The sequence below is a fragment of the Homo sapiens genome, chromosome 21 (assembly GCF_000001405.40).
Source record: "Homo sapiens chromosome 21, GRCh38.p14 Primary Assembly".
NCBI lineage: Eukaryota > Metazoa > Chordata > Mammalia > Primates > Hominidae > Homo > Homo sapiens.
Window position 1 is genome coordinate 45,566,083 of NC_000021.9, and position 26,108 is coordinate 45,592,190.

The 26,108-nt window shown below is 51.6% G+C and overlaps 1 long non-coding RNA gene across 1 annotated transcript in view, besides 6 other annotated features; it reads right to left on the reverse strand.

Moving 5' to 3' along the window:
* Positions 12,857-13,358: an enhancer, noted in NCBI's record as "H3K4me1 hESC enhancer chr21:46998853-46999354 (GRCh37/hg19 assembly coordinates)". NCBI's record gives its function as "activates a minimal SCP1, AML or CMV promoter by ChIP-STARR-seq in primed H9 embryonic stem cells {active_cell/tissue: H9 hESC(primed)}" and the evidence as "EXISTENCE:reporter gene assay evidence [ECO:0000049][PMID:30033119]".
* Positions 15,012-15,948: an enhancer, noted in NCBI's record as "H3K4me1 hESC enhancer chr21:47001008-47001944 (GRCh37/hg19 assembly coordinates)". NCBI's record gives its function as "activates a minimal SCP1, AML or CMV promoter by ChIP-STARR-seq in naive H9 embryonic stem cells {active_cell/tissue: H9 hESC(naive)}" and the evidence as "EXISTENCE:reporter gene assay evidence [ECO:0000049][PMID:30033119]".
* Positions 17,052-26,108, reverse strand: part of LOC107985485 (uncharacterized) — a 32,664-nt gene continuing 23,607 nt past the window's right edge. The window contains exon 2 of the long non-coding RNA XR_001755092.2: positions 17,052-24,132. This is a non-coding gene — a long non-coding RNA (uncharacterized LOC107985485). The remainder of the gene's footprint in view (positions 24,133-26,108) is intronic.
* Positions 23,558-24,058: an enhancer, noted in NCBI's record as "H3K4me1 hESC enhancer chr21:47009554-47010054 (GRCh37/hg19 assembly coordinates)". NCBI's record gives its function as "activates a minimal SCP1, AML or CMV promoter by ChIP-STARR-seq in naive H9 embryonic stem cells {active_cell/tissue: H9 hESC(naive)}" and the evidence as "EXISTENCE:reporter gene assay evidence [ECO:0000049][PMID:30033119]".
* Positions 24,330-24,399: a silencer, noted in NCBI's record as "silent region_13407". NCBI's record gives its function as "represses an Ori minimal core promoter by ATAC-STARR-seq in GM12878 lymphoblastoid cells {active_cell/tissue: GM12878}" and the evidence as "EXISTENCE:reporter gene assay evidence [ECO:0000049][PMID:35858748]".
* Positions 24,440-24,589: a silencer, noted in NCBI's record as "silent region_13408". NCBI's record gives its function as "represses an Ori minimal core promoter by ATAC-STARR-seq in GM12878 lymphoblastoid cells {active_cell/tissue: GM12878}" and the evidence as "EXISTENCE:reporter gene assay evidence [ECO:0000049][PMID:35858748]".
* Positions 24,600-25,089: a silencer, noted in NCBI's record as "silent region_13409". NCBI's record gives its function as "represses an Ori minimal core promoter by ATAC-STARR-seq in GM12878 lymphoblastoid cells {active_cell/tissue: GM12878}" and the evidence as "EXISTENCE:reporter gene assay evidence [ECO:0000049][PMID:35858748]".

Below are 26,108 nucleotides of genomic sequence, written 5' to 3' on the forward strand. Positions count from 1 at the left end.
GCAGGAGAATGGCATGAACCCGGGAGGTGGAGCTTGCAGTGAGCCAAGATCGCACCACTGCACTCCAGCCTGGGTGACAGAGCGAGACTCCGTCTCAAAAAAAAAAAAAAAAAAAAATTCCCAATAAATTTGAAGGTTTCACTGCATCATGGTATGTTCTCTGGCCAATCGGAAATATATCAGGTATTAATAATACAAAGATTTCTGAATAATCTCTAAATATTTACAAACTGAAAACAGATATCTGAATAACCCACCAGTCAAAGAAACGACGAACAAGGAAATTAGAAAGTATTTTAAACTGGTTGAAGATGAAAACACAATTTGAGATTCTTTTTCTGCCTTCTCTGGTTTTAACTGAGCATCTTACATGATTCTGTACACATTCCATGTATTTCTTTTCTTTGCATATCAATTTTTATTAAAAAATTTTTAAGGTGTTTTCCTAGAGTTTGCAATATACACTTACAACTAATCTAAATCCACTTTCAAATAACGCTATGTTGCTCCACATACAAGTATCTTGTAACAGAATATTCCCAGTCCTCTCCCATCCCTTACCACATTGCTGTCATTTGTTTTACTTACCTATATGCTATAATCACCCAATATCATTATAATTATTACTTTTAATAAATAGTTGTATTTTAGATCAACTAAGAATAAGGGGGGGAGGATTTTATATTTATTCATCCTCAAACACTTAGTTTCTTTATATAGATTCAAGTTTCTGACCTATATAATTTCCTTCTTCCTAAGGAACTTCTTCTAATATTTCTGGTAGAGCATGTCTGCTGGTGATTAATTCTCTCCATTTTTATTTGTCTGAGAACATTTTTATTTTTCCCTTACGCTGAAGAATAATTTTACTGGATATAGAACTCGAAGTTGGTGGAGTTCTTTCAACATTTTAAATATTTCACTCTGCTCTGTCCTTAGTTAAATGTAGACACAAAAATTCTCAAATTATGCCCAACAACATATAAAAAAGAAACTCCACTGTGACCTACTGGTGTTTATGCCAAGAATGTAAGGTTGGTTTAGCAATGGAAAGTCAATCAATGGAATTCACCACAATAAACATAAGGAAAAATCATGTGGTCAATAGATACAGAAACACATTCCTGATAAATCTTAAAAGCATAAGACTCAGTGAAAGAAGTCAGGCAGAAAACACTACACACTATATAACCCCAATGATGTGACATTCTGGAGAAGGCAAAACCATTGTGCTAGTAAAAAGATCAGTGGTAAAGAGTTTGTGGGAAGGGCTGGAGGACTGAATAGCTAAAGCACGGGAGATTATTTAGGGCAGTTATTCTGTATGATAGTGTATTGGTGGATATGTGATATTATAAACTTATCAAAAACCTGTGAAACTTTACAGTACAAAGAATACACCCCATTGTATGCAAATTTAAAAACCATTTAGGAAGCTCAAGGACCTCAGGATGGAATCCAGAATGTGACAAAACCATCTAACTGTATTACAAACGCATGGAACATCCTCACTGAAGGGAGTGGGGGAACAGCACTGACCTAGTTCAGAATGAGTGGAGTCTTTAAGACTAAAGGCAAAGGAACAGTACGTAAGCACTGGACTCTAGCTGACAAAGTTGTCTCCCAGTGAGGTGTGAATTAACAGTTCTGACACTACCATAATATTGTCTTAGTCTGTTTTCTGTTGCTATAACTGAATGCCTAAGACTAGGTACTTTATAAAGAAATCTATTTCTTACCATTCTGGAAGCTGGGAGGTCCAAGGTCAGGCGGCTGCATCTGGTGAGGGCCTTCTTGCTAGTGGGGACCCTCTGGAGAGTCCCAGGTGGCACAGGGCATCAGATGGTGAGGGTCTTACAAGAGATGGCCAGACTCGCTTTTACAACAGACCCATTCTTCTGAGAAGTAACTCACTCACTCCCGGCATAACCCATTCATCCATGAACTGATTAATCCAATCACCTCTCAAAGGTCCTGCCTCTCAACGCTGCTTCACTGGGGATCAAGTTTCAACACACGAACTTTTGGGGAACACATTCAAACCACAGCACATGTATACTGAAAATTGAACAATTAAATACATGGATAGCAGATGGTAGGAGCCAGGTTTCTCACTATTAGGAGGTTACAGAAGCAAGAGGAGGCAGCTGGGATGACCCACATGGTGCTAGATTTGAGTTGGAGACATTGGTATGAACTGATGTTTAGCCCTGTATAGATTTCTACGGCTACCTAGAGAAGTATTTTAGATATGCATATATACATGGTTAATATATGCACATATATTTTCTCCTCTGTGAGCTGAGAGGGTTTGGCAGCAACAACACCTCAATAGCTATAAGCACATCTCATGCTCAGATCTCGGTTTCCAATATGCTTCTTCAATGAAAGGAACCAGGGTTCCTTGGAGAACTGGTGGATTCCAGAGCTGGGGCCAGTAATATACAAGATGAGACTAGAACATCTTGTACTAAAATGTAGTAATAAAATGCCAAAACAAACCTCAGATTGATGGGCTATGTCAAAGGGCTACAGGAGTTGACTGGAAGAGCTCCTAACGGGCAATGCTGGAACAGTGTGAGCAACAAAATCAAGAAGTGTTATTGCACTGTGACCCAAGTGTAAATACCCACAAGTCCACGCCAATCTAAATAAAGGATGCAATAACATATCCACAAATAAATGAAGGAGAAGAGACAAATCTGCATGGAGGAATGACAAATAATTTATGTAGACACTCTGCCTCAGAGGGGGCGTAACTCCCCAGTTCTTGCGTGCAGGCTGGGCACAGCAACTTCCCTCCAAGACGGACTGTTCCGGAAGGGGAAAGAACACTCTCAGCAAGGAAGCGGACAAGCTGTCTTAGCCAGGTGATGAAAGTCCTCATCAATGGTGACAATCATGCTGGTCATACGGATCCTTGACATGATTGTCTGAAGATGGTGGGTTACCTCAATGGTCTTCTTTCAAAACCCCATATTCCCAGTTTAATCATGAGAAAACCTCAGACGCCAGCAGATCCCAACTGAGAGACACTCTGCAGAATACCTGCCCAGTCCTCCTCAAAACTGACAAGGCCATCGAAAGTAAGAAAAGCTTGAGAAGCTGTCACAGCTAAGAGAAGCCTATGGGGACGAGATAACTAAACGTAGCATGGGATTCTGAACAGGATCCTGGGGCAGAAAAGGCGCCTTAGAGAAAAACTAATAATATCTGAATAAAGTGGGGACTTTGGAGAGCGACAATGTATCAGTATTGGTTCATGAATTGTAACAAATGTATCCTAGTAATGGAAGATGTTTATGAGGGAAACTGTGGGTACCAGGTATGTGGGAACTCTCTGTACCATCTTCACAATTTTTCTGTAAATCTGAATCTGTTACGAAGAGTACTTTAAGGTGGCTCACACCTGTAATCCTAGCACTTTGGGAGGCTGAGGTGGGTGGATCACTTGAGGTCAGGAGTTCAAGACCAGCCTGGCCAATATGGAGAAGCCCCATCTCTACTAAAAATACAAAAATTAGCCAGGCATGGTGGCGGGTACTTGTAATCCCAGCTACTTGGGAGGCTGAGGCAGGAGAATTGCTTGAACCAGGGAGGCAGAGGTTGCTGTGAGCTGGGATCGCGCCACTGCACTCCAGCCTGGGTGACAGAGACTCCATCTCAAAAGAAAAAAAAAAGGATTTAAAAATAAATAAAAGGAAAAACTACACTAGAAAAAATAATAAACAGTTTAGTTATGGCAAATAAGCACATGAAAGAGTGTCATTATTCATGAGGGAAACGGAAATTAAAACCCGGTAAGATGGCTGGGGCGCAGTGGCTCACGCCTGTCATCCCAGCACTTTGGGAGGCCAAGACGGGCGGATCACGAGGTCAGGAGATCAAGACCATCGTGGCTAACATGGTGAAACCCCGTCTCTACTAAAAATACAAAAACTTAGCCGGGTGTGGTGGCGGGCGCTTGTAATCCCAGCTACTCAGGAGGCTGAGACAGGAGAATTGCTTCAACCTGAACCTGGAAGGTGGAGGTTGCAGTGAGCCGAGATAGCACCCACTGCACTCCAGCCAGGGCAACAGAGCGAGACTCCATCTCCAAAAAAAAAAAAAAAGAAGTAAATGACCAATCCGCATGACTTGGTGAAGGAGTGACCGGCCCGTGCAATGCTGTGAATAAATGTCAAAGCAATTGTGCTCATGACTGAGGCCAGTCTAACAACAGAGTCTTGCTCTGTCATCCAGGCCGCAGTGTGGTGGCACAATCTCGGCTCACTACAACCTCCACCTCTCTGATTCAAGTGATTCTCCTGCCTCAGCCTCCCCAGTACCTGGGACTACAGGTGTGCACCACCATGCTTGGGTAATTTTTGCAATTTTAGTAGAGACAGGGTTTCACCATGTTGGCCAGGCTGGTCTCGAACTCCCTACCTCAGGTGATCCGCCCGCCTCGGCCTCCCAAAGTGATGGGATGACAGGTGTGAGCCACTGTGCCTGGCCCCCTGAGTCCATTTCTATACAACTCTAGAAGGTGGAGATCCATCAGTAGCTCTGGAAACAGACCGACAGCTGCCTGGGGACAAGGGAGCAGTGTAAGAGAATCTGAGGCGGAGGAAGAGATTTTGGGGTAAATATGTTCATGACCTAGATTTTAGTGACAGTTTCAGAAGTGCCTACGTATCATATTGTGTACTTTAAATGTGTGCAGTTAATCTGTGCTCTCAATAAAGCGAAGCCAGGGTGCGGGAAGCAAGTAGGAACCCCAGAGTTGGAAATATGGGTTTTAGAGTAAAGTCTGTGGATTGTTGGTGTTACAGAGGGACCACAGCACTGTCTTTAGCATTCACCCCGGAAGTGTGTGGGTTTTTTCTGGAGTTTAAAATGATTAATTCTCCAGTCTATAAACACAGACCGTCCACAGTGGCACATTCCAACAGAAGCCCTGTCATCGGAGCGGATTTCATTTCACCCAATCTTGTTACACAACAAACAGCTTGCATTGAATAAGTCATAATTTTTAAGACAAATATGTCTTCTAAATTCTCTTAGAAAGCGTCTCATGTTTAAAAAATAACACTGCTAATAGCTGACTTCTCCTCAGCAGGCTGAGTGGAAACATGCCCCGCTGAACTTCTTGGCAGGAAGATGGCAGCCCAAGTTGCTGTCCTGATGGGGGGAACACATTTGGTCTCCAGCACTCAGATGGAAATTTCCAGAGACCTTTTTATCCCTTCGTCACATCTTTAATTTTTCAAATAGGCCTCTCTCTTGCTCCAGTTGCCAGGTTAACAAAGCTGCCAAGGCCAAGCAGAAACTGGCAAGCGTCCCCAGAGACGCATCTTAGTCTTCAACATAAACCAGACCTGATTCCGCCCGCTCTGCTGTCTCCAGCCACCTCCGTCCACGGGCAGCCAGCACAGGCACCTGGGAGGCCTAATCGGATCGCGGCTCCCGGAGGGTCACTAATCAGATTGTTTTGCCTGCCGTGTTCCTGTCAAAGCGAATGTGCAGCGTTTCCAGACGGACGCTCTCTTTAAAAGCACACGCTCCCCTCCTCACTCCAGTTAGAAAAAAACGGAGTGTGCAGGTGCATTGTGACTCATGAAATCGCTCTTCGCTCAAAGGTCTGTTAACAGACTTTGTTTTGGGTCAGATTCGGTTCTACAAACTGCTACCTGTGACCCTGACAGCATGATTTACTCTCTCTGGGCCCCAACCTCCCGCGCCCTGTGGTCGAAGCGTCCCCTTCCTATCTACCATCGTGGGGCTCTTCGGACTCTGATTCGGTGTTTCTACAAAGTACACGAAAAAGAGACCGTTTATTTTCTATCGTGTGAAAGAAAGAAGCAACTGCAGAGGACACCAGCAAGGCTGCAGGTCTTGTGTGGGTCCCTGCAGCTTTCCTTCCAGGGAGAACAGGTAAAAGTTTCCTCCAGCATGAACGTCCAGCTGTGCAAAAGTCAAAGGCCAGCTATTAGGTACAGCAGACAGAGCAGCCCCAGGGACTGCTGTGAGAGGAGGGAGGAGACTTGAACCCTGGGCTGAGAGATGTGTTGGAGGATGACTTAACACTGTGGAAAGGACAGAAGCTGGCGAAGAGGGAGGAGACTTGAACCCTGGGCTGAGAGATGTGTTGGAGGATGACTTAACACTGTGGAAAGGACAGAAGCTGGCATGGGGGGCTGGAGGAGGCAAGGCCCTGGCTCAGCCCTGAAGTCGTGACAGCTTGTGGCCAGCCCGATGCCTGGTTCCTACCTGGGGAGGGGGCTGCATGGAGTCTGGGTTTGCAGGCCAACTGCCTATTCTTAGGGTGCAGCGACTTCCCCGTTATGCTGGGTGCGCACACTCCCCTGCTGGAGGGGTGCCCTGATGCTCTGAGCCAGTCAGCACAGCCTCCTCACTGATCCCAGCTTCCAGGGGATGGCCCTTCAGCCATTAGGGCAGTCTAGGACAGAAGCTTGCGCTGTCGCTGGTGTGGGGTGTGGGTGTGAAGCCTGGAACTACTGCAGTTACTTTTTTATTTTTGACACAGAGTCTCGCCCTGTTGCCCAGGCTGGAGTGCCGTGGAGCGATCTCGGCTCACTGCAACCTCCGCCTCCCCAGTTCAAGCAATTCTCCTGTCTCAGCCTCCCCAGTAGCTGGAATTAAAGGCACATGCCACCACACCCAGCTAAGTTTTGCATTTTTAGTAGAGACGGGGTTGTACCATGTTGGCCAGGTGGCCTGGAACTCCTGACCTCAAGTGATCCGCCCACCTTGGACTCCCAAAGTGCTGGGATTATAGGCGTGAGCCACTGTGCCCAGCTACTACAGCTACTTTGATACCAGGAGGGAAACAACCCTGAGAATAAGACAGATGGGTGAAGCACGGCATGGCAGAGATTTGTAGATAAATGTTACTGGAACCCTGATCACATTGTACCTGAAGCCTGCTCTCCTCTGGACTTTCTAGTTATGAGTCAATATTAATCAACAAATTCATGTTTAAGCTGGTTTGAGTTGGGCATTCTTGAAACATAAAAGTCCCCATCTGATGCCAGCACTAAATGGAACATTCTTAGTACTAGAGAGGACATCAAGCTCTCAGGTTGCTAAAGTTGTCTTTCTGTGGGCTCATACATGCCAATGATAACAATATAATAATACAGTGCCTGACCGTACCTGGGGTAGTGCCAAGGTCTCCACGGGCAGGAACTTGCTTCGTCTTCCCGATAGCATTATGGGCGGGAGCTGTAATTAGCTCCATCTTGCAGAGGAGGAAACAGGCTTACAGAGGGGCAAGCTTCACGCGCTTCCCTGGGTCCTGCTTTTCTTTCTTCCCACGAAGAGACAACCTGGGGTAGGGCAGGGGGTGGGGGATTGAGGACAGGCCAGCTTTGGTTTCTTTTGGTAAACTTTTTCCGTGTTTTTTTTTTCTTCTTCATTAGACACACGTAGGATGTTTCCAAAATCCGTGTGATTCAAGTGCATTCCCAGCATGTGTCTGTGTTTCTTTGCTTTGACTCCTTAAAGCAACACAGGGCACGTCCCCATCTGCGTCAACAGATCCTTCCGAGGCCTGAGGAAAACATTTCCACTTATGTTTTCAGTTATTTTTCTTTCCATTCAAATGTTTTTGTTTATTCCTCAAAAATGTCTAGAGCCCTTACTTGAGTGGGACTCTGTCTCCTCCAAGGATGTTGGCTGCTTTCACTCTCCCTCGGTGCAGTGCGACATCTCTGCCTTGGCCTCCAGGTCTGGTCTGTGACTGGCTCCCAGGAAGCGCCTCCTGGCCTTGTGACCTGCATTTCTCTGGAACTCAGCTGTAGCCCTTGCTTTTTATCTCACTCACTTCTTTTCGTGGCTTTTTGCTTCATTGTGGTGGATGCCGAGGCTTCCGGCCCTCGCCCATTCTGTTTGTCACAGCCCAGAAGTTTTAGGTGGGACCGCCTTCTACCTGCTGGGCTGAGGGGCCTTCGAATGGCCTCATGGTGGTTTATTCTCTGCCTTTCAATGTTTTTCCATTTTGCTTGTTCCCACAGTGTAAAGGCCAGCAGCGGCCGCACACCCTGCGTTTCAGTTTCTCAGCCTCTGCCGGGCTCTCCTCGCTGGCCGCATCTCCCCCTGCAGAGCCACCCGTGCTAACAGGCCAGACTGGCGGCCGCGCCGACCACCTGGGAGAGACGTCCCACACCTGCGCCCTGGCAGGACAACGAAGCCAAAGAGGCGGTGGGCGTTCCAGTGGGTGCTCCGGCCACCCTCCTCCCCCTCCGGACTCCATTCTTCCCAGGGCTGTGTCCTGGGCCTCACTTCCTGCCCTGAGCAGCCTGCCCCACCCCGGCCCGGCTCTCACGGCCCCTCTGCTCACGTCCAGGGCCTCGGACTGCCCATGTGTGGGAGGGGTCGGCTCTATCAGGTGGTTCTGACCTCGGTGAGCCCTGGGGCTGTGGGATGTCACCCCTGGCCCCACAGGAGGCCATCGGTTGGGGCCTGTTTTTCTCTCTTGGCTCCAAGTTTCAGGGCTTGCGTGCTTCTTTTTCACAATGTTAAACTGATCTTGGGGGGAAGCTGCAGACTCCCTGCTGTGCCCTCCTGAGAGAGTGGTGAACAGTCCCAAGTTTTAGATTCCATCCTTTTTCCCGAGAGTGGGGGAAATCCACTAACTGCCCAGCGCTTCTTATGGGGACCAGGGCCTGAGGAGGACTTGGCGCTGTTCTTGGGCCCGGGGCTGTGGGTGGCCAGCTGGCTGCAGCTGTGTGGGCCGGGAGGACCTCCCTGAACTCTGTGCTCCCTGGGGGTGCGCAGGCGCCCGGCCCCACCCCCACTTCAGTGAGCAGCCAAGTATCGGGCAGTGCCCCTCATCCTGGGGCAGAGAACACCGACGAGGGCCCCACCCCCAGGCAGAGGCAGTGGGCACTGTTTGGAGAGTCGCAGGGCCACAGGGCTGGCAGGAAGCGGGTGGAGGCCCTGCCCCAGCATGACAAGTGTGTCTTCCACACACCCCCCACCACGCAGTCTCCCCTGGAGTGCCTGGCTGGATCACTTGATGCCCGCAGGATGAGGAGTCAGCCCAGCTCCTGCCTCTGGTGATGGGGACTTTCAGGTTGTTGGTGGTTCAGGTTTTTCTGTTTTAGCTCCTACCTCATTAAAAATTATAAGAATAATTTAAAAGCCCTCTGGGTTTCTGTAGGTTGGTGGACATTCTGTGCGGAAAACACCTGCCTGACCGTAAGCACTTCTGAGGATGACCCAGCCCCACGAAGCAGCATACAGTGTGCACCACTGGGTCCCTTCTGTCTCCTTAGGGAACAAAGAACCCCCGCATTCACAAGGTGGCCCCAAAGCGTGACCCGCTCCAGAAAGCAGCACCCCCCCAGCGGGTGGGAGAGGCCCTGCCCCGTGTGTCCCGGCTGGCCCTGTGTGTCCTGGCTGGCCCCGTGCAGACGGGCAGACGGGCACTGCAGATGGGCAGCCACCGCCTTTGCTGGACGAGTACTTCCCACGTCCACTTAGCTGGGCACAGGAGCTCACCTGTGCCCTCCAGTGGGGGCGTGGTGCGTAAGCAGTGCCCGGGGGCCACGGTGGGGGGCTCCTGGATTTGCCTCCAGAGACAACAGGATGGAAATTTGGTTCCGAGAATTTTATGTACATGTGGGTAGTTGAGGTTAATTAGCTTCTACTAAAATGCACAAACCAGGTGTCTACTTCTGGGTTCTGATAACTTCATGCACGGGGGCACCCACCACCCAGAGCAGGCCGGGCTGTTTCCCCACGAAGCTCCTTTCCCACCAGTTCCCCACCTGCTGCTGGACGGGCCCCAGGAGGATTCTTCGCTTCCCTCGGTGGGTTTCTTCACTTCCCTCCCTGCAGGTGGGTTTCTGTTCCTGATGTGGGGATAGTGGTCTTCTCGCTGCTGAGAGGGCTTCGAATGCACCACAGCTAGATGGACAGACATCAGTGAAACTGCCGCCAACAGACTTGGCCCTTGCAGCATCCATCCCCAGGAGGAACTTGCAGCCTCCACCCCGGCCCCCTGGGCCTTCTCCCAGTGCCTCCTGGAGGCCCCTGCCCGGCGCCCCTGCTCATCCTGCCCTTGTCTACAGCTGCGTGAGCTGCAGATGCAGGAGGACCCTGGGACGAAGCTCCCTGCCCTGCCCCCTTGCCCCCTCACGTGGCACCCTGGCCCAGCTCATTCCCCTGCCTGCAGGGCCGGTGCTGTGAGCAGCTCTGGGGTCATGGCTTGGTTTCTCCCTGGCAAACTGGTGCCTTCACAGCTGATTTATATTTCAAACATGGACGCCATCTCCCTGGCCCCTCACACCGCGTTAGCGGCCCAGCCTGTATTCCATTAGCTGATTAAGCCTTTTCTTGTCCTTCATTTGTTAGAAATAGAAGTTGGCTGAACCCCCCAAGCTTTCACCAATAACATCTTTTTTTGTCCTTTGTTTCCGTCTTCCTCTCGTTGACAATAAAAGTCTTCTCTCCTTCTTCAGAGACACTGGCTGTCCTTCTGCCCCACCCAGCCCCCGGTCCCTGCCAGGGAAAGGTGCGCCCCCCGGAACCACCTGGGAAGGACACTGCGGGGCCTGTGAGCTTGTTCAGCTGCTGGCTCAGCTCAGCTGGAACCTCCAAAATGAGGCTGAAGCTGCCTGGGGTATGCTCCTGGTTTCCATGGGTCTTCGGGGCCATCAACCTACAGGTCGATTTTGAGGGTGAGACAACCCTTGAGTTCCCCCTGGGGCAGGGCCAGGGGCCGGGAATAAGAGGTGGCATCTGGGGAGCTGCCCGTGGCAAGGGATGCTGCAGAGAGAGACGAAAGGTCAGTTCCCACCTCTCCCCAGACAGCCTCGGGCTGTACAGGAAAGCGTGCCACGGCACCAAGCAATGCTTGACACTGATTCACGCCTCTGAACACATGATGCCATCCCTTCTCACGGTGAGGAGGACCCGTCAGAGCGACCCGGGCCCATGCACCATCCCACCCCTGACACAGGGCAGCCCGTGCCTTCCTGCCAGTGGCTGCAGTGGTCTGGGCGAGCAGCCCTCACCTCGCAGGAAGCAGTGCTTGCCTGCCTCTTATGGCTTCTGGCCCAGGGGTTACATCTCTCTGGACCACGTGGCACTGCCTGGGCACTCCTTGGAGGGGCTTCAGCTGTGCAGACACCCCTGCTGAGGACGCCTCCTCACTAGCCCCCCAGGCACTCCCAGGGTGGGGGGCTCTGTTTAGTGCTGCTGGCTCTGGGCCACAAGCCACCCAGCTGGCTGGCAGCTCCACCACACCAGGGAGTGATTGGCACTTTTCGGCAGGAAGAAGAGGGCAGCTGTGCCGGATCCGCAAGATTTCACGGAATCAGAAAGTCCTTCCTGAACTCCGTTCAACAAGAATCCAGACGCTCAATTGGACCCATGAGGTTTCAAAGTTGCCAAGGCTGTGAGCCCCAGGAGTTAGAGGGTGAGGGTCCTGCCCAGCTGGGAAGCCACGTGGCCCAACGGCCAGGACACAAGATGCCATGGGGCAAGCACTCTGCCTCTGTGGGCCCTCCCTCCACAAAACATCAAAAATCCTGTTTTACGTCTGTGTTGATAAGAAGCCCAAATGTGCTAATATTATATATGAAAACATTTTATTTGATCTAAAATTTCTTTTTTCTTTTCTTATGATTTAAAAGTAATTACAACAGTGTTGTGGGCTCTGAGTTGGCCTGGGGGAGGCTGGGGGTGACTAGGGAGGTGGCTACTGGGGGCCCCTGAAGGACCTGGAGGAGCTTGGCGACTCCGGTGGTGAGAACCAGGGCAGGAGGACCACCGGGTGACAGGCAGGAGAGGCAGGACAATCCACCTGCTCAGGGGGCCCGGGTGGGCTGCGTGGGGTGCATCCCGGCTTAGGAAAGGGCCTCGACAGCTGGCCATTGCACAGCCCCGTGGCAGGTGGGTGGAGGGTTGCTGATCTGACCCTCAGATCCTGCCCACGTGACCCTGGATGCCTGGAGCTAGGGCACAGCCAGGCCCCGCCATGGGGCTGGAGGTGAGCTTTGCACGTGCTTGGACTCCCCAGGGTCAGGTGAGTGGTGACAGTGACCAAGTCTGCACTTGGGGTCATGTGAGTGGTGACCGTGATGTCTGCACTAGCTTTTGGGGAAGGTGCGTGGTCTCACACCCAAGGTGGGGAAGAAGGTTTGGCATGGCCTGGAAAGTTCCTGAGCCTTCACTGCCCTTCAGGGAGCCTGGGAGGGGCCTGGGGGACTGGGGCTGGTGTGGTCTCCACTCGGGACCTGCACGCGCCCCAGGCAGGCAGCGAGGCCAGCAGGCAGAGGTGGGTGAGTGTCCTCGCCGTGTGACTCTGGCCCGTCCTTAGCCACGGGGGCTCCTGTGTGGGTAGCTGTCGCAGGCCCACTCCTCCTTTCCGAACCCCAGAATCGATTTCCTGGTGGAGGTGTGAGGACGCGTCGCAGCTGTCTCTCTCTGAACCTGCTGCAGGTTCTGGCCCGAGTGCCTGGATGCCAGACACCCGCGAGCTCTGCATCAGACCCGCCTGCCTGGGCAGCCTGGGGCTCACCTCTTGTTTGTCTTTCAACCTGAGCTGGCCCTGAGCCAGTTTGTACAAAGAGTCTGTCGCTTTGATGGGACTTTTCCCTGGCACTGGCTGGATGTCCAATCACCACCCTGCACCCACATCCCTCCCACTCAGCCTGGAGCTCTGCACTCAAGTGCTGCGTCTTCAGGGTGTCTCTGCCAAACTCCACTCGAATCAGGACTCCAGCTGCCACGATGTGCATTCCCAGCCCTGGTCCCTCCCTGCCCTGACAGGGTTCCCCCCACCCCGCTCCCAATCCAGACAGGGTTCCCCCCGCCCCGCTCCCAATCCAGACAGGGTTCCCCCTGCCCCGCTCCCAATCCAGACAGGGTTCCCTCCACCCTGGCCTGCAGTTCCTGGAGAGGAGTGCTTCCGGGGGAGGAGAGGGTCACCTCTTGTGCACAGCACCCCTGGGATGCGGGTGCCCCTGGGATGCGGGTGGCCCTGGGATGCAGGTACCCCTGGGATGGGGGTGCCCCTGAGATGCGGGTACCCCTGGGATGCGGTGGCCCTGGGATGGGGGTGCCCCTGGGATGAGGGCAGCCCTGGGATGCGGGTACACCTGGGATGGGGGTACCCCTGGGATGCGGGCGCCCCTGGGACGTGGGCGGCCCTGGGACGGGGGTGCCCCTGGGATGGGGGTGCCCCTGGAATGGAGGCGCCCCTGGGATGCGGGTGGCCCTGGGACACGGGTGCCCCTGGGATGGGGGTGCCCCTGGGATGCAGGCGGCCCTGGGATGCGGGTACCCCTGGGATGGGGGCGCCCCTGGGATGCGGGCAGCCCTGGGATGCAGGTGCACCTGGGATGGGGGTGCCCCTGGGATGGGGGTGCCCCTGGGATGCGGGCAGCCCTGGGATGTGGGTGCCCCTGGGATGGGGGTGCCCCTGGGATGCGGGTGGCCCTGGGATGCCGGTGCCCTGGGATGGGGGTGCACCTGGGATGCAGGTGCCCCTGGGATGGGGGTGCCCCTGGGATGCAGGCGCCCCTGGGGTGGAGGTGCCCCTGGGATGCGGATGCCCCTGAGATGTGCTTGCCCCTGGGATGGGGGTGTCCCTGGGATGCGGGCAGCCCTCGGATGCGGTTGCCCCTGGGATGCGGGTGCCCCTGAGATGTGCTTGCCCCTGGGATGTCGGTGCCCCTGGGATGGGGGTGCCCCTGGGATGCGGGTGCCCCTGAGATGTGCTTACCCCTGGGATGGGGGTGCCCCTGGGAGGCGGGTGCCCCTGGGATGGGGGTGCCCCGGGATGCGGGTGGCCCTGGGACGCGGGTGCCCCGGGATGCGGGTGCCCCTGAGATGCGGGTGCACCTGGGATGTCGGATGCCCCTGGGATGTCAGATGCCTCTGGGATGTCGGTGCCCCGGGATGCCGGTGCACTTGCCTCTGACGTCCTTCCCAGTGAGCAACTTCAGCCACTTGACCTTTGGCCACTCGTGCAAACTCTGGCCACTGCTTCATTTCCATGTGAGCCAAGGAGACCTTCCTGGTGGCGGGGACTGGGAAGGCACAGTGGAAGCCCTGCACACTGCGAGGTTCTGCCTGGAGATGCCAGCACTGAATGGAGAGTCGAGGTACATGAACAGTGGGTATGACGGCATGCAAAGCCAGCAGCCCTGTTCCAGAACTGTCTTCAGGTTCCTGCACAGGCCCAAGACCTCTGGTGCCAGCTGCACCCTCCTTGTTGGGCATCTGGCCATTGAGGGGGGGCAGTTGGAATGTGAGGCTGGGGTTCAGCTGCAACAGACACGTGCCCAGTGCCGGCCGCCAGCTTCCACATTCGCTCATTCGTTCTACACACTTTCTCGGAGGTCCTCTGTGCTGCCAGGGCAGGCTGGGTGTGTGAAAAACAGGCCCCAAGGTACAAAAGGGCTCAAGCATAACAGTGGTTATGGGGTCCCAGATGGGGTCCCTGGCTAGCTGGTGGCTGAGCCCTGCTGTCTCCTGAGCCTGACGGAGACACAGCTGCCTCTAAAAGCCTCTGAAAGCGGAGTGGACTGCGTCTCTCCTGCCAAGTGCTGCTGGTGAGGACCAGTCTCAGGGCCACACATGCCCAAGGCTTTCTGGATGGCAGTCATATCCCTGCCAGACTCCCCACGGGGCGCAGGAGGAGCTAGTCACGGTCTCCACCCCATTCCAGGTGCTTTAGCCGCCCTGCAGCTGTGACCGCAGGATGAGAAGGGCAGGATGCCGCCCCAGGAACGCACGCCTGGCAGGGGGCAAATCCCAGACGGCGAGGACGGGGCAGGAGGCCCAGCAGCGCTGGGAGGGTGGGGATGAGCCGGGAGGAGGTGACGCAGCAATCCCAGTGGGAATCTCTGTCGGAGACAGGCCGGTGCCCCACGCCATTCAGTGAGTGCGAAGCCAGGTGTGAACTGCAGCAGACATGAAGGGAAGGCAGTGACGAATTCTCACCTCCCTCGTCAGGCGCCTGCTTGGATTTGAATGTGGGCTCAGAGAAGGCCTTGGGTGAGCAGGGTCAACACGAGGTGGGCGTTGGACCTGCACTGTCTTTCTGGCACAGCAAAGCCACTGACTGGGCCTCCGGGGTGATCACCGGCGGCCTGCGCCCAGACGGATTTCAGAATTGCTATGGGCTGGTGGCCACTCGCACCCGTGCCCCTCTTGGGAGTGGGGAGTGCTATTTGCAGCTACTCTGTCCCATTGTAGACTAGGGGGATCCACACCTGTGAAGCCTCAGCCTCACCTGGACCCCATGTGGATGAGGAGATCATGAACTGGGAGCGATATTCTGGGGGATGCGGCACCGGGGCTTAGAGCAGGGTGAGTGCACCCTACGTGCCGGCACATGATTCACTGTGGCCAGTGTGTTCCCCAGAGATAGCTGCCACAGCCCTCACCCCATAACGTGGCCCCGAGTCCGGTGTGCCCCACGGCTGGGCTGATGGGCAGCCTGCACCAGAGCCACCTGTCCTCGGGAACTGGCTTATGGCCGCCCCTTCCTGCTGTCTAGAAGCTCCTGCCACGCAGGAAGTCCATCTACCCGAGACCCCCCTACTGGGTGGAGCCCAGGCTCATGGAGAGGCCTGGGGGGTGGGCTTCCATGTGGGGAGAGGGAGCCCAGGGTTGGGGGGACACCAGACAAGCAAGAAGGAGGCCACTTTGGAAGGGGACTGTCAGCCCAGCCCAGCCGTTTGTTTTTTTTTATTTTTTTGGAGACAGAGTCTCGCTCTGTCGCCCAGGCTGGAGTGCAGTGGCTCGATCTCGGCTCACCGCAAGCTCTGCCTCCCGGGTTCATGCCATTCTCCTGCCTCAGCCTCCCGAGTAGCTGGGACTACAGATGCCCACCACCGCACCCAGCTAATTTTCTGTATTTTTAGTAGAGACGGGGTTTCACCGTGGTCTTGATCTCCTGACCTCGTGATCCGCCCACCTCGTTCTCCCAAAGTGCTGGGATTACAGGCATGAGCCACCGCACCTGGCCCAGCCCAGCCTTTTTAACTGAGCAAGTCCCTCAGCTACTTTAGGGGTCAACATTATGTGATTAGGGACAATAGGAGCCCCTGGGAAGGACAGTGACCTCGTACAGAGCAAGCAGGAGGGGCCCCGAGGGCCTCCTGGGTACTCTGCACAGACATGAGGTAACCAAGGCTTCTGACTCTGCACAGTCTTTGGTAAACCCCTGGTATTTTTCTGGAGAGTATGGCGGGCGTGGCTCTGGGAAGGAGTCATGGCCCTCAGAGAAGGTACCTGGTAACAAGGGCAGGTGCCTCCTTTCTAAAACCAAGATGGCGTGAGTCTCTGTACCCTGAGGTGGGGCAACTCTGTGTGAGTCACTGCAAGCAGGGGTGGTGTGCACCAGTTCCATTGACAACAATAGGGTCTAAGGATCCCTTTATCTTAACTCACACCACCAAACTTGGAAAGATAAGACCAGGCTGTGAAAATTATCAGAGATAAAGAGGTTTTTGAATGGAAGTGGTAGAGAATTCACACACACCTTCTCCCCCCTGGAAGGTTTGTCATAGATTGGTACACATTTCAGTTTTCAAAATAAATAGACCAATGTTCAAAAACTGTGTTCCTTCTCTCCATTGAAAATAGACTGGGGCGAGTATTTCTGTCACCAATTTGACTTGACAGCACTTGGGAAACCAGATGAATGCCTTTTGCAGGGACAGTTAATCAGATTTTTTAAACTGACTTTTTTTTCTTTTCCTTCTTTTTTTTTAAAAAGGTATAATACTAATAAGTGTGCATGACAAAATTTAAACATAAGGGAAGTAAAATTTGAGATACAAGTTTCTCTTTCCCCATCCCTACAAACTCTGCTTCCATTCCCCACTGGAACCTTGCAGAACATGTACGTGCAGAACCAAAGGGCATGTGTGTGTGCGTGCATGCCTGTGTGCACACCTGTGCACATGTATACTTTTAACACATCAATGAGATTACACTATGCAATACTGCTCTGCATCTTGGCATACTGAATAAATAATATGTTGAAGAGATCTTTTCAAATTAATACGAACAGACTCAACTCATTCTTTTGTATCCTAATTTTTTGTTGTTATTGTCTTGTCATTGAAAGAGACATACAAAACTTCTTGAGATTGTGGACTCACAGTTCCGTTAGTGTTTGCTTTCTGTGTTTGGAGGCCATGTTCTTAGGTGCATATGGGTTCATCACAGTTCTTGTTCTTCTCCATCACAGTCATTCCTCATGTCCACAGTTTTTGTCCATCACAGTTTTTGTCCTGCTGGTGAGTCATTCTTCTTATTTTCTTTAACGTTCATGATGCTTTTTGCCTTTAAGTCTATTTCATGGGACAGTCATAGCAATTCAGCAGCTTTCTAATGGGTAATATTGGTTTAATATATCTTTTCTTTCATTTTATTTTAAATCTTTCTGTGTCCTATGTCAGCATATCTCTTCTAAAAAACACACATTTATAAAATATTAAAGGTACATACATACAATGTAGAAAGTGCAATCAACACAGGAGAAGTAAAGAATTCTAACCACCCTGAGCTTCCCTCCCCATGCAATAAATCGTAACAGCTTCTTGCAGATCCCTCTAGAAAACTCTGTCAACAAAAACATATAATTTTAGGTACTATAAAGCAGTGGTCCCCAAACTTTTTGGCACTAGGAACCAGTCTCATGGAAGACAATTTTTCCACAGATGAGGGGTGGCAGGGGGCTATGGTTTCAGGATTTCAGGACAAAACTGTTCCATCTCAGATCATCAGGCATTAGATTCTCATAAGGAGTGCACAACCTAGAACCCTTGAATGTGCAATTCACATAGGGTTTGTGCCCCTGAGAATGTAATGCCACCGCAGATCGGACAGGAGGTTAGGTCAGGTGGTCATGCTCGCTGGCCCACCACTCACTTGCTGCTGTGCAGGCCGGTTCCTAACAGGCCACAGACTGGTACTGGTCTGTGGCCCGTGGGTTGGGGGTCCCTTCCACAAAGGCATCATGGGATGCCTTCATGAAAGGAGTGTCCTTTTTGGCCATACCGCTACAAACCTGGATGTACTTGGGCTGTTGTCCTTCAGTGTCAGCACGTTACCTGCTGTCCTCCACATGTGAGCGAGAACTTGGATGGGTATAAAACTCCCAGAGCCCATTTCCACCCTAACTGTGTAGACCCTGCTCTGTCTCCTTCTCCACAAGAGCACTCAGTGGGAGTTCTGAGGTGGCCTCTTGTACTCTCCTTGGTATGCAACCCGCTATGAAGAGCTCATAGTTCTTTATCTGTAGTGTGCAGGCAAATGTTTACCAACCAGCTTTCTTCGGGGAAAGCCCTGATTGTAGCATTTGCCAGTTTCTGGTAAAACTCCCACTGTGGTGGATTTCCAGCTACCAAATGTCACTGAATGCAGAGTTGGAAAGAGATACACAGTAGCCACCTTTGTGTAGCAACTCCATCATACAGGTACAGTTGTCATAAGCAGCCTCCAGGGCATAAACAGTAGCAAAACAGGTTAAAAATAATTAGGAAGAAATGAGTGTGGAGTATCTATTAACTTTGTTTTTGATATAATTGATTTGGTTGTAAATTTGTTAATTTGATGTACGATAATGGCTGGGATTAACAACTGGCTCACACTATTCTTGATAATTTAACAGCCAGCTCTAAGGGCTGGTGTGAGCCATCTCCAGCACACCCTCGGTCTGTATGTCATTCTTGCTCATGATGCACCTTTTGCCTAGGATGTACTGTGCCCTTTCAACCCACGTTTTCTTTATTTCCTTTAAGCTATTTGCTGTTATCCTTGTGAGATGAAAGCCAGGGCTGGGACACACTGATACAGAAATGGGCCCTGGGGTGCCAGGCTTGGGGGAGACGAGGGGCACCACAGTGAGGACCTGGCTTTCAGCTTGCCTGTGCAGCTTACACTTGGGGCTGCTGAAGTGCGCCGGCCCTGCAACTGGGCCAGGGACTTCCCTAATATCTGTTTTTCTAGAGATGTTGAGCCTGAAGTGAGGCAGTTGAGCAAACAAGTGGACAGCATATTAACATAGCAGGGATTTCTGAAAACCCAGGGTCCTGGCCAGCCATGGGCTGCAGCTCCCTTTTACCTCTGGGTGGTCATGACGGTAAGTACACCAGGTGATGAGGACCATAGTACACTGTTGCTGGAGTGGAGTGCCAGGAAGCCCATGATCTAGCCTGAGGGGACTGCAAATATTTTAGGGACAGACTTCAAAATATACCAAATTAATTGTTAAGCTTTTTTGGTTAATGTCAGAAAAATGGAATGTAGTTAAAATGCAATAATGCTAAACAGCTTGATTTTATTGAAGAGTGTCCTAAAAAGATATAGCCACTTATGTCATTTTATAATTCTATTTGTTCTAATAATGTATCTTTTTTATTCCCCCACTGGGAAAATTTCATGCTGCATGAATTCATTAATGTCTCTTCCTCTGCATGCTTATCTTAGGCTAAGAATGAATGAATTTTCTACTTTGCCTCATTTGACTGTGTAAGAGGGTCAAGAAATAGACCCATCTCTTCAGGATGTAGCAAGTTCACGTTGAAGAACATGTGGGATGGAAAACCATTGCTGTGGCCACCTTAGAAAAATAACATAATGTCGGCCAGGCACGGTGGCTCACACCTGTAATCCCAGCACTTCGGGAGGCCCAGGTGGGTGGATCACCTGAGGTCAGGAATTTGAGACCAGCCTGAGCAACATGGAGAAACCCTGTCTCTACTAAAAATACAAAATTAGCTGGACATGGTGGTGCATGCCTGTAATCCCAGCTACTACAGAGGCTGAGGCAGGAGAATCGCTTGAACCCAGGAGGCAGAGATTGCAGTGAGCCAAGATCATGCCATTGCACTCCAGCCTGGGCAACAACAGCGAAACTCCGTCTCAAAACAAACAAAAAGAAAAAGAACATAATGGCATGGTCTACTCTTTGGCTACAGGCATTCCTGTCCTTTGCATATGCAAAATACACTCACCTCCTTCACCAAGGCCTCCAACATCCCAGCCCATTATGGCATCAGCACAAAGTCCAGGGTCTCATCATCTATGTCAGGTCTGTAAAGTACCCCCAGTGTATTCCTAAGATGCATTTACTCAAGCGCAATCCCTCCCAGCGTGAAGACCTGCAAACTAAAGGGGTCAAATTCCCTCTTCCACACACCCAACATTTTAATACAATGGGGAGGAAAGAAACCAGGATCGGTCTTTCTGACTGAAAAGTCAGAAAGCTGGCGGCACATTAGCAGTCAATGCCCACACAGCTAAAATCCAGCTGCAGGGCACCAATTCCCCTGCTCTAGAGGTAGGAAGTGTACCTTAATTAGAGCTGAGTGTTTGTTCTATGCTCTTGCCTCTCCCTCCATGCTCTTGACTCCACCCTCTGAGTCACCCTTCCTTTCCCCCGAAAAACGGTCCATATTTTCATCTGATTACCTCTCTTAGTCATCTTCCTGGACATAGAAGATGGATGTCCCAGAGACTTCTTCTAATTTTGAATTGTCCCTTTATTCAGAGCTGACAGTGCTTCCACCAATACAATTCTCTTAAAAACTTGGTGGATTTCCTACAAATCTTAAGGGGGTCTCACTCCATTAGACAAAGATATCATCACAAGTCTCTCAGTCTCACTGAAAGAGTAAATGAGGCATGCCTTAAATCTTTCTCAAGTCTCAATAAAAGGTATGAAATCCACACTTTTAATCTGAACTTTACCCCACAGCCATAGTTGACTTCAAACACACTGAGTTCCATCTTTGCCACGCAGCATTTTCTTACTGTGAGAATATTTCTTTGTCTGAAAGATGCATATGAGAAACCACTTAGAGAAACCCAGCCAAGTCCTGACACCTTTATATTTTCTTTAAATTTTGCTCAAAAATGGGACATTCCTTCATTATTTTATCTATATTACACACAGCTAAAAGAAAGCAGTTGCCAATTATGACAGTCTGCCTCAAAGTCTCTTCAGTCAAACCCACAAGCTCATGTGGTATATTTTTTGGTGTCCTGGTTTCCCCAAAGGATATTTTAACTAACGTTTCTGCTGCTACATGACAGCAGTCACTCTTTTCCATCTTTCCAGGTGTTCCCTCACTGAACTTTGAGACTTTACTATCAGTCTCATTGAGGTCTCTTAGCCCACACTTCCATCCCTAAGATGATTTCCCCAGTTTTAGGCTTTTGTTTCAGTAGCACCTCATTTCAAAGGTGCCGTTCACTTCCCAAGTAGTGCACCTGCAGTGTTGGGCAACAGAGAAAAAGTCCCTTTCTAATTCATACAAAGGGCTGGTGGAGGCCCAGGTCCCTCAAAGAAATTCTCCACTGCTTCACTTGTCCAAATGCCCCATCATCCAAGCCCAGCCAAAGTTCCTCTTCTGCTGTGTGGCCAGCCTTGACTTCTCCTCGCCTCTGAACTCCTTCTGTCTCATGTTAATCTTCTCTTGCAGCACTTTGTGTAGAGTTATTGGTTTATATATCTCATTATTCTCATCTTGGTAAATTCTGGGTTGCACAGTACGAGGTTTTACTCTGAATTTTCAGTACGCATGTGATAACAGAATGAGTAAGTCAGTGAATGAGAGTCCACTCCCTCTTGCTCCCAACTTCATTCTAAAATGATAAATAAATTAAAGTAATGGTTACATTCCAAGGGGGATAAACACCAGGCAGGTTGTAATAGATGCTGTTACCACATTTCACCAAAAATTTAAGGTAGCACCACTTTTAAGATGTACCACTATTTTATATGCTGTTAAGGAATGTTGGCAATTGTTTTATGTTCATTGAAAAAGAACCTCTTCATCACGCCCATGCCTTCTTCTACCTTTTTGAGCATATGAAATCTAGTTAGCACTGCCTCACTGTTCTTGTATACAAATCCCATTGTATCTGTCTTCTCTGGGTCTGTTTCTATTGATGGATTTTGACCCTGGGTATGAATCATATTTTCCTGCTTCTATGTGTGATAGTTTTTGATTGAATGGTATAGACATTGTGAAAGGTACATGGGTGGGTGCTGAATTTTTGGTATTACTTTGAATATTCTTGGGTTGTGTTGGAATCCTTTTGAGGATTGCTTAGAAGCCTCGTTAGTGTGGGTCCTTCAGCCTGGGGCTAATCTGGCCCCATTGCTGACACACTACCCTGCTGCAGCCTCCACGATGCCCTTTGAATTAGGAGGTCTTTCCACTCTGGCTTGTGGGAACACGAACAATCCCAGCCCTGTTCGAGCTCCTCCGGATGTTCTGCCTCCTCCTTTCTAGTGGTTCTTTTCCCCTCAGGTAATTTCTTCATAGGCATGCGTAGATCAGTGCTCAGCCACAGTTCTCTGGGTGGGTCTCCCTCTCGCCTTCTCTCACCCCATCTCTTTCTCTCCTCCCCCATCTCTTTCTCTCCTTCCCCATCTCTTTCTCTCTCTGTAGCTCCCTCTTCTCTTGTACTCAGCCCTGAAAATTCTGGTTGCCTTGGCTTCCCCCAACTTATAACTCAGTCTCTGCCGCAGCAAGACCCCGCCTTATCTGGGTACCCCCTCTCAGGCTCTGGCCTGGAGCTCCTCTCCAGACAGTAGCCAGGGGCTGGAAGGTCTCTCCTCATTAGTTTCTCCTCTCTCAGTAACTGCTGCCCAATTCTGACCGCTGTCCCATGTCTCAAAAGACATTTTTGCATATATTTTGTCCTTCTTTCTAGTTGTTTAAGGTGAGAGAGTAAATCTGGACCAGTTATTCTGTCGTGGCTCAAAGTGGAAGTCTTAGTTTTTGTTTAACTACAAATGCTTTTGTTTTACTCTCATTCTTGAAAGGTATATCATGGGATGAACAGTTCTTGTTGAAAGCTGTTTCCTCCCAGGTATTTGAGACCTCTGCTTCTCACGGCTTCCCCTATTGCTGTTTAGGTGTTGGTTTCAGTGCCGTTCAACAGTTACTCATTCTTCTCTCCAGTTGCTTTTATAATCTTTGTCTTTGAGAATCTCCAGTTACAACAGGTGTGTCCAGATGTGGTTTTCTTCAAACACACTCTGCTTAGATTCTCTGAAGCTTCAGAGTCTGAGAAATGGTGCCTTTCCATTCACATCTCTTCCCTATTACCTTGGCCCATTTAATCCACTTTTTTTCCTCCTAGAGCCCCAGTTAGGCCACGTGGGGCCTTTTTACTCCATCACAATGCTAACCACTAAAGAGAACTTATTTTTCACCCTTTGTCTGTGTTGCACTCTGGGTGACTTCTTCAAATATATCTTCCAGTTCGCTAATTTTATATGTATTTGCATCTAATTTGCTGCTTAGCCTATTCATTGTTTTCAAATTCATTTATTCTTTTTTATTCCTAAGATGTTTCTCATATCTGCCTCCTCAATTCTGACAGTGTGGCAGGGTGCGGTGGCTCACACCTTTAATTCCAACTTTGGGAGGCTGTGGCGGGTGGATCAACTGAGGTCAGCAGTTCGAGACCAGCCTGGCCAACATGGTGAAACCCCATCTCTGCTAAAAATACAAAAATTAGGCAGCCGTGGTGGCACGTGCCTGTAATCCCAGCTACACAGGAGGGTGCAGGAGGCTGAGGCAGGAGAATCACTTGAACCCAGGAGGTGGAGGTTGCAGTGAGCCCAGATCGCGCCATTGCACTCCAGCCTGGCGACAGAGTGAGACTCCATCTAAAAACAAAACAAACAAAAAAAACAGTTCTGATGGTGTCCCGTCCACTTATTTTTAACGCCACGTTTTAGTTCTTTAAACACATGGGTCACGATACTCCCAGGCCCAGGTTGGGCCGCTCTCTTCCTCGTCTCCCCTTGAGGCCGGGGACGTGTAGGAGTGGGGCCTTCGCACGGAGTTCTCCAGCGGACTTCTTCCTTTCTTGCCTTTCCGTTTTTTTTTTTTTTTTTAATTTTTAATTTTCCCGTTCCACCCAGACCCCTCTGGGGCGCGAGGAAGGTCCCCAGGCTGCGGGTCCCGCGCCGGCCCGGCCGCGCTTCTAAGGCAGGACTGCCGCGTGTCGGTCACGGTGTCGCGTATTCTCCGCGGGACGGACGTGTCTTCAGGTCCAACCCGCCCGGTGGGAAGCGCAGACACTGATTTTCCAGAAAAAGTCCTCCTTCCGTTTCCCGCACTGGTAGGAAAGCTGGGGAGAGAGAAGGAGTCTCACCGTCCTGGACCAGTCGGAACCACAGAGGCCGCTCCGGGTCCGGGGGCGACTTCCGAGTGGGGGAAGGAGGCCGGAGGGCGCGCGGCCGAGCCCAGACCCAGCAGAGCGCGCGGCCGCCCGCTCCCAGGTTTCCCTCCATCTCGGCCCCGGCCGCCTCTGAGGTTCTGGACCAAGCCCAGTGCCCGCTGCCCGCAGAAGGCCTCACTCTGGAGCCGGCGGGGAGGGCGGGGACGCGGCTGTCCAGAGCTCCGTGCCCGCCCCGGGAGTTCGAAGGGTGCTGGGGCCGAGGGGAAGGCTCTGGTCGGCGGCGTCAGCGGCAGCTCCCAGACGACCTAGGACTGCAAAGGGCCCAGGACGGGGGGCGGGGCGGAGACAGGAGGCGGGGCGGAGGCATGGGGGCGGAGACATGAAGGGGCGGGGCTGGGGCGGGGCTGAGGCAGGAGGGGCGGGGCTGAGGCAGGAGGGGCGGGGCTGAGGCAGGAGGGGCGGGGCAGAGCCTGAGACACCCCGCCCCGCCCCCCACCTCCACCTCGAGCCCGCCCCTCTCCCAGGCTCCTGCTCCAGGGCGAACCCGGGGGTCCTCTCCCATGGCTCTGTGGGGGACCCCGGGGAGGTCGCCCTGGCACGGGACACTGTCGCGGGGTAGGACCCGAGAGGGTCTGGGGCGGTCAGGCTTCATCCTGAGCACCGCCCGGGTGCAGGGAGCGCTGGGTGCTGGGTAAGCGCGCGCCTGCGGGAGAGGCGGAGGCGGGGGCGGGGGCGGGGGCGGCAGGGAGCCCCTGGGCACCCACGGCGGGCGAGGCGGCGGCTTCCACTCCCAGGGAGCGGGGGTTTCGCGCAGGGGACGGCGCCCGGCTTGAAATTTAGGAAATTCCGGTGTCCCGCCCGCGCAAGAGGCGCTGGAGCATTTCCAGGTCGTTATAGGGCCCGGCCGCGTGGGGACCCCGGGGCAGATGCGCACCAAGCCTGGGACGCGCCTCCCAGGCCCTGCCCGAGAAACCCTTGCATGCGTGGGCACACACACAGAGATACACACAACACTCCATATGGACACACACACACACACAGATACACATAACACTCCATATGGACACCCACACACACTCCACATAGACACACACAACACTCCACATAGACACACACATAGATACACACCACTCCACATAAGACACACACACAGATACATACCACTCCGCATAGGCACACACACACATACACAGGTACACACAACACTCCATATGGACACACACACAGAGATACATACTACACATAGACACACACCATGCACAAACCACACACACATGCAACACTCCACAGACATACACACAGATACACAGATACACCACGCCACATAGACACACCATCACACCACACACACAAAACACATCACATAGAGACACACACCACACACATACAAGATGCCACATAGATACACCACACACAAACCACACACACACACCTCATAGACACACAAACCATGCACACTATGCACAAACCACACACACGCATACATACCCACAACACACCACATACACACCATGCATACCACACCCACACTCCACATAGACACACAAACCACGCACACATACATACACACAACACACCATATGCACAAATCACGCACCAGCCACACACACAACAGGCCACATAGACACACACAACACGCACACCACACACACAAAACACTCCACATCGACACACAACTCACGCACAAACCACACACACACAACATGCCACATAGGCACACACACCACGCACACCACACACACACAAAACACTCCATGTCGACACACAAATCACACACAAACCACACACACAAAACACTCCACATAGACACACATACCATGCACACCACCCACACACAAAAAAACACACCACATAGACGTGTTAGGTAGTTAGACACACATCAGCAGCTGGGAGAGGGTAAAAAGGAGAACAGAGAAGCTGTCATT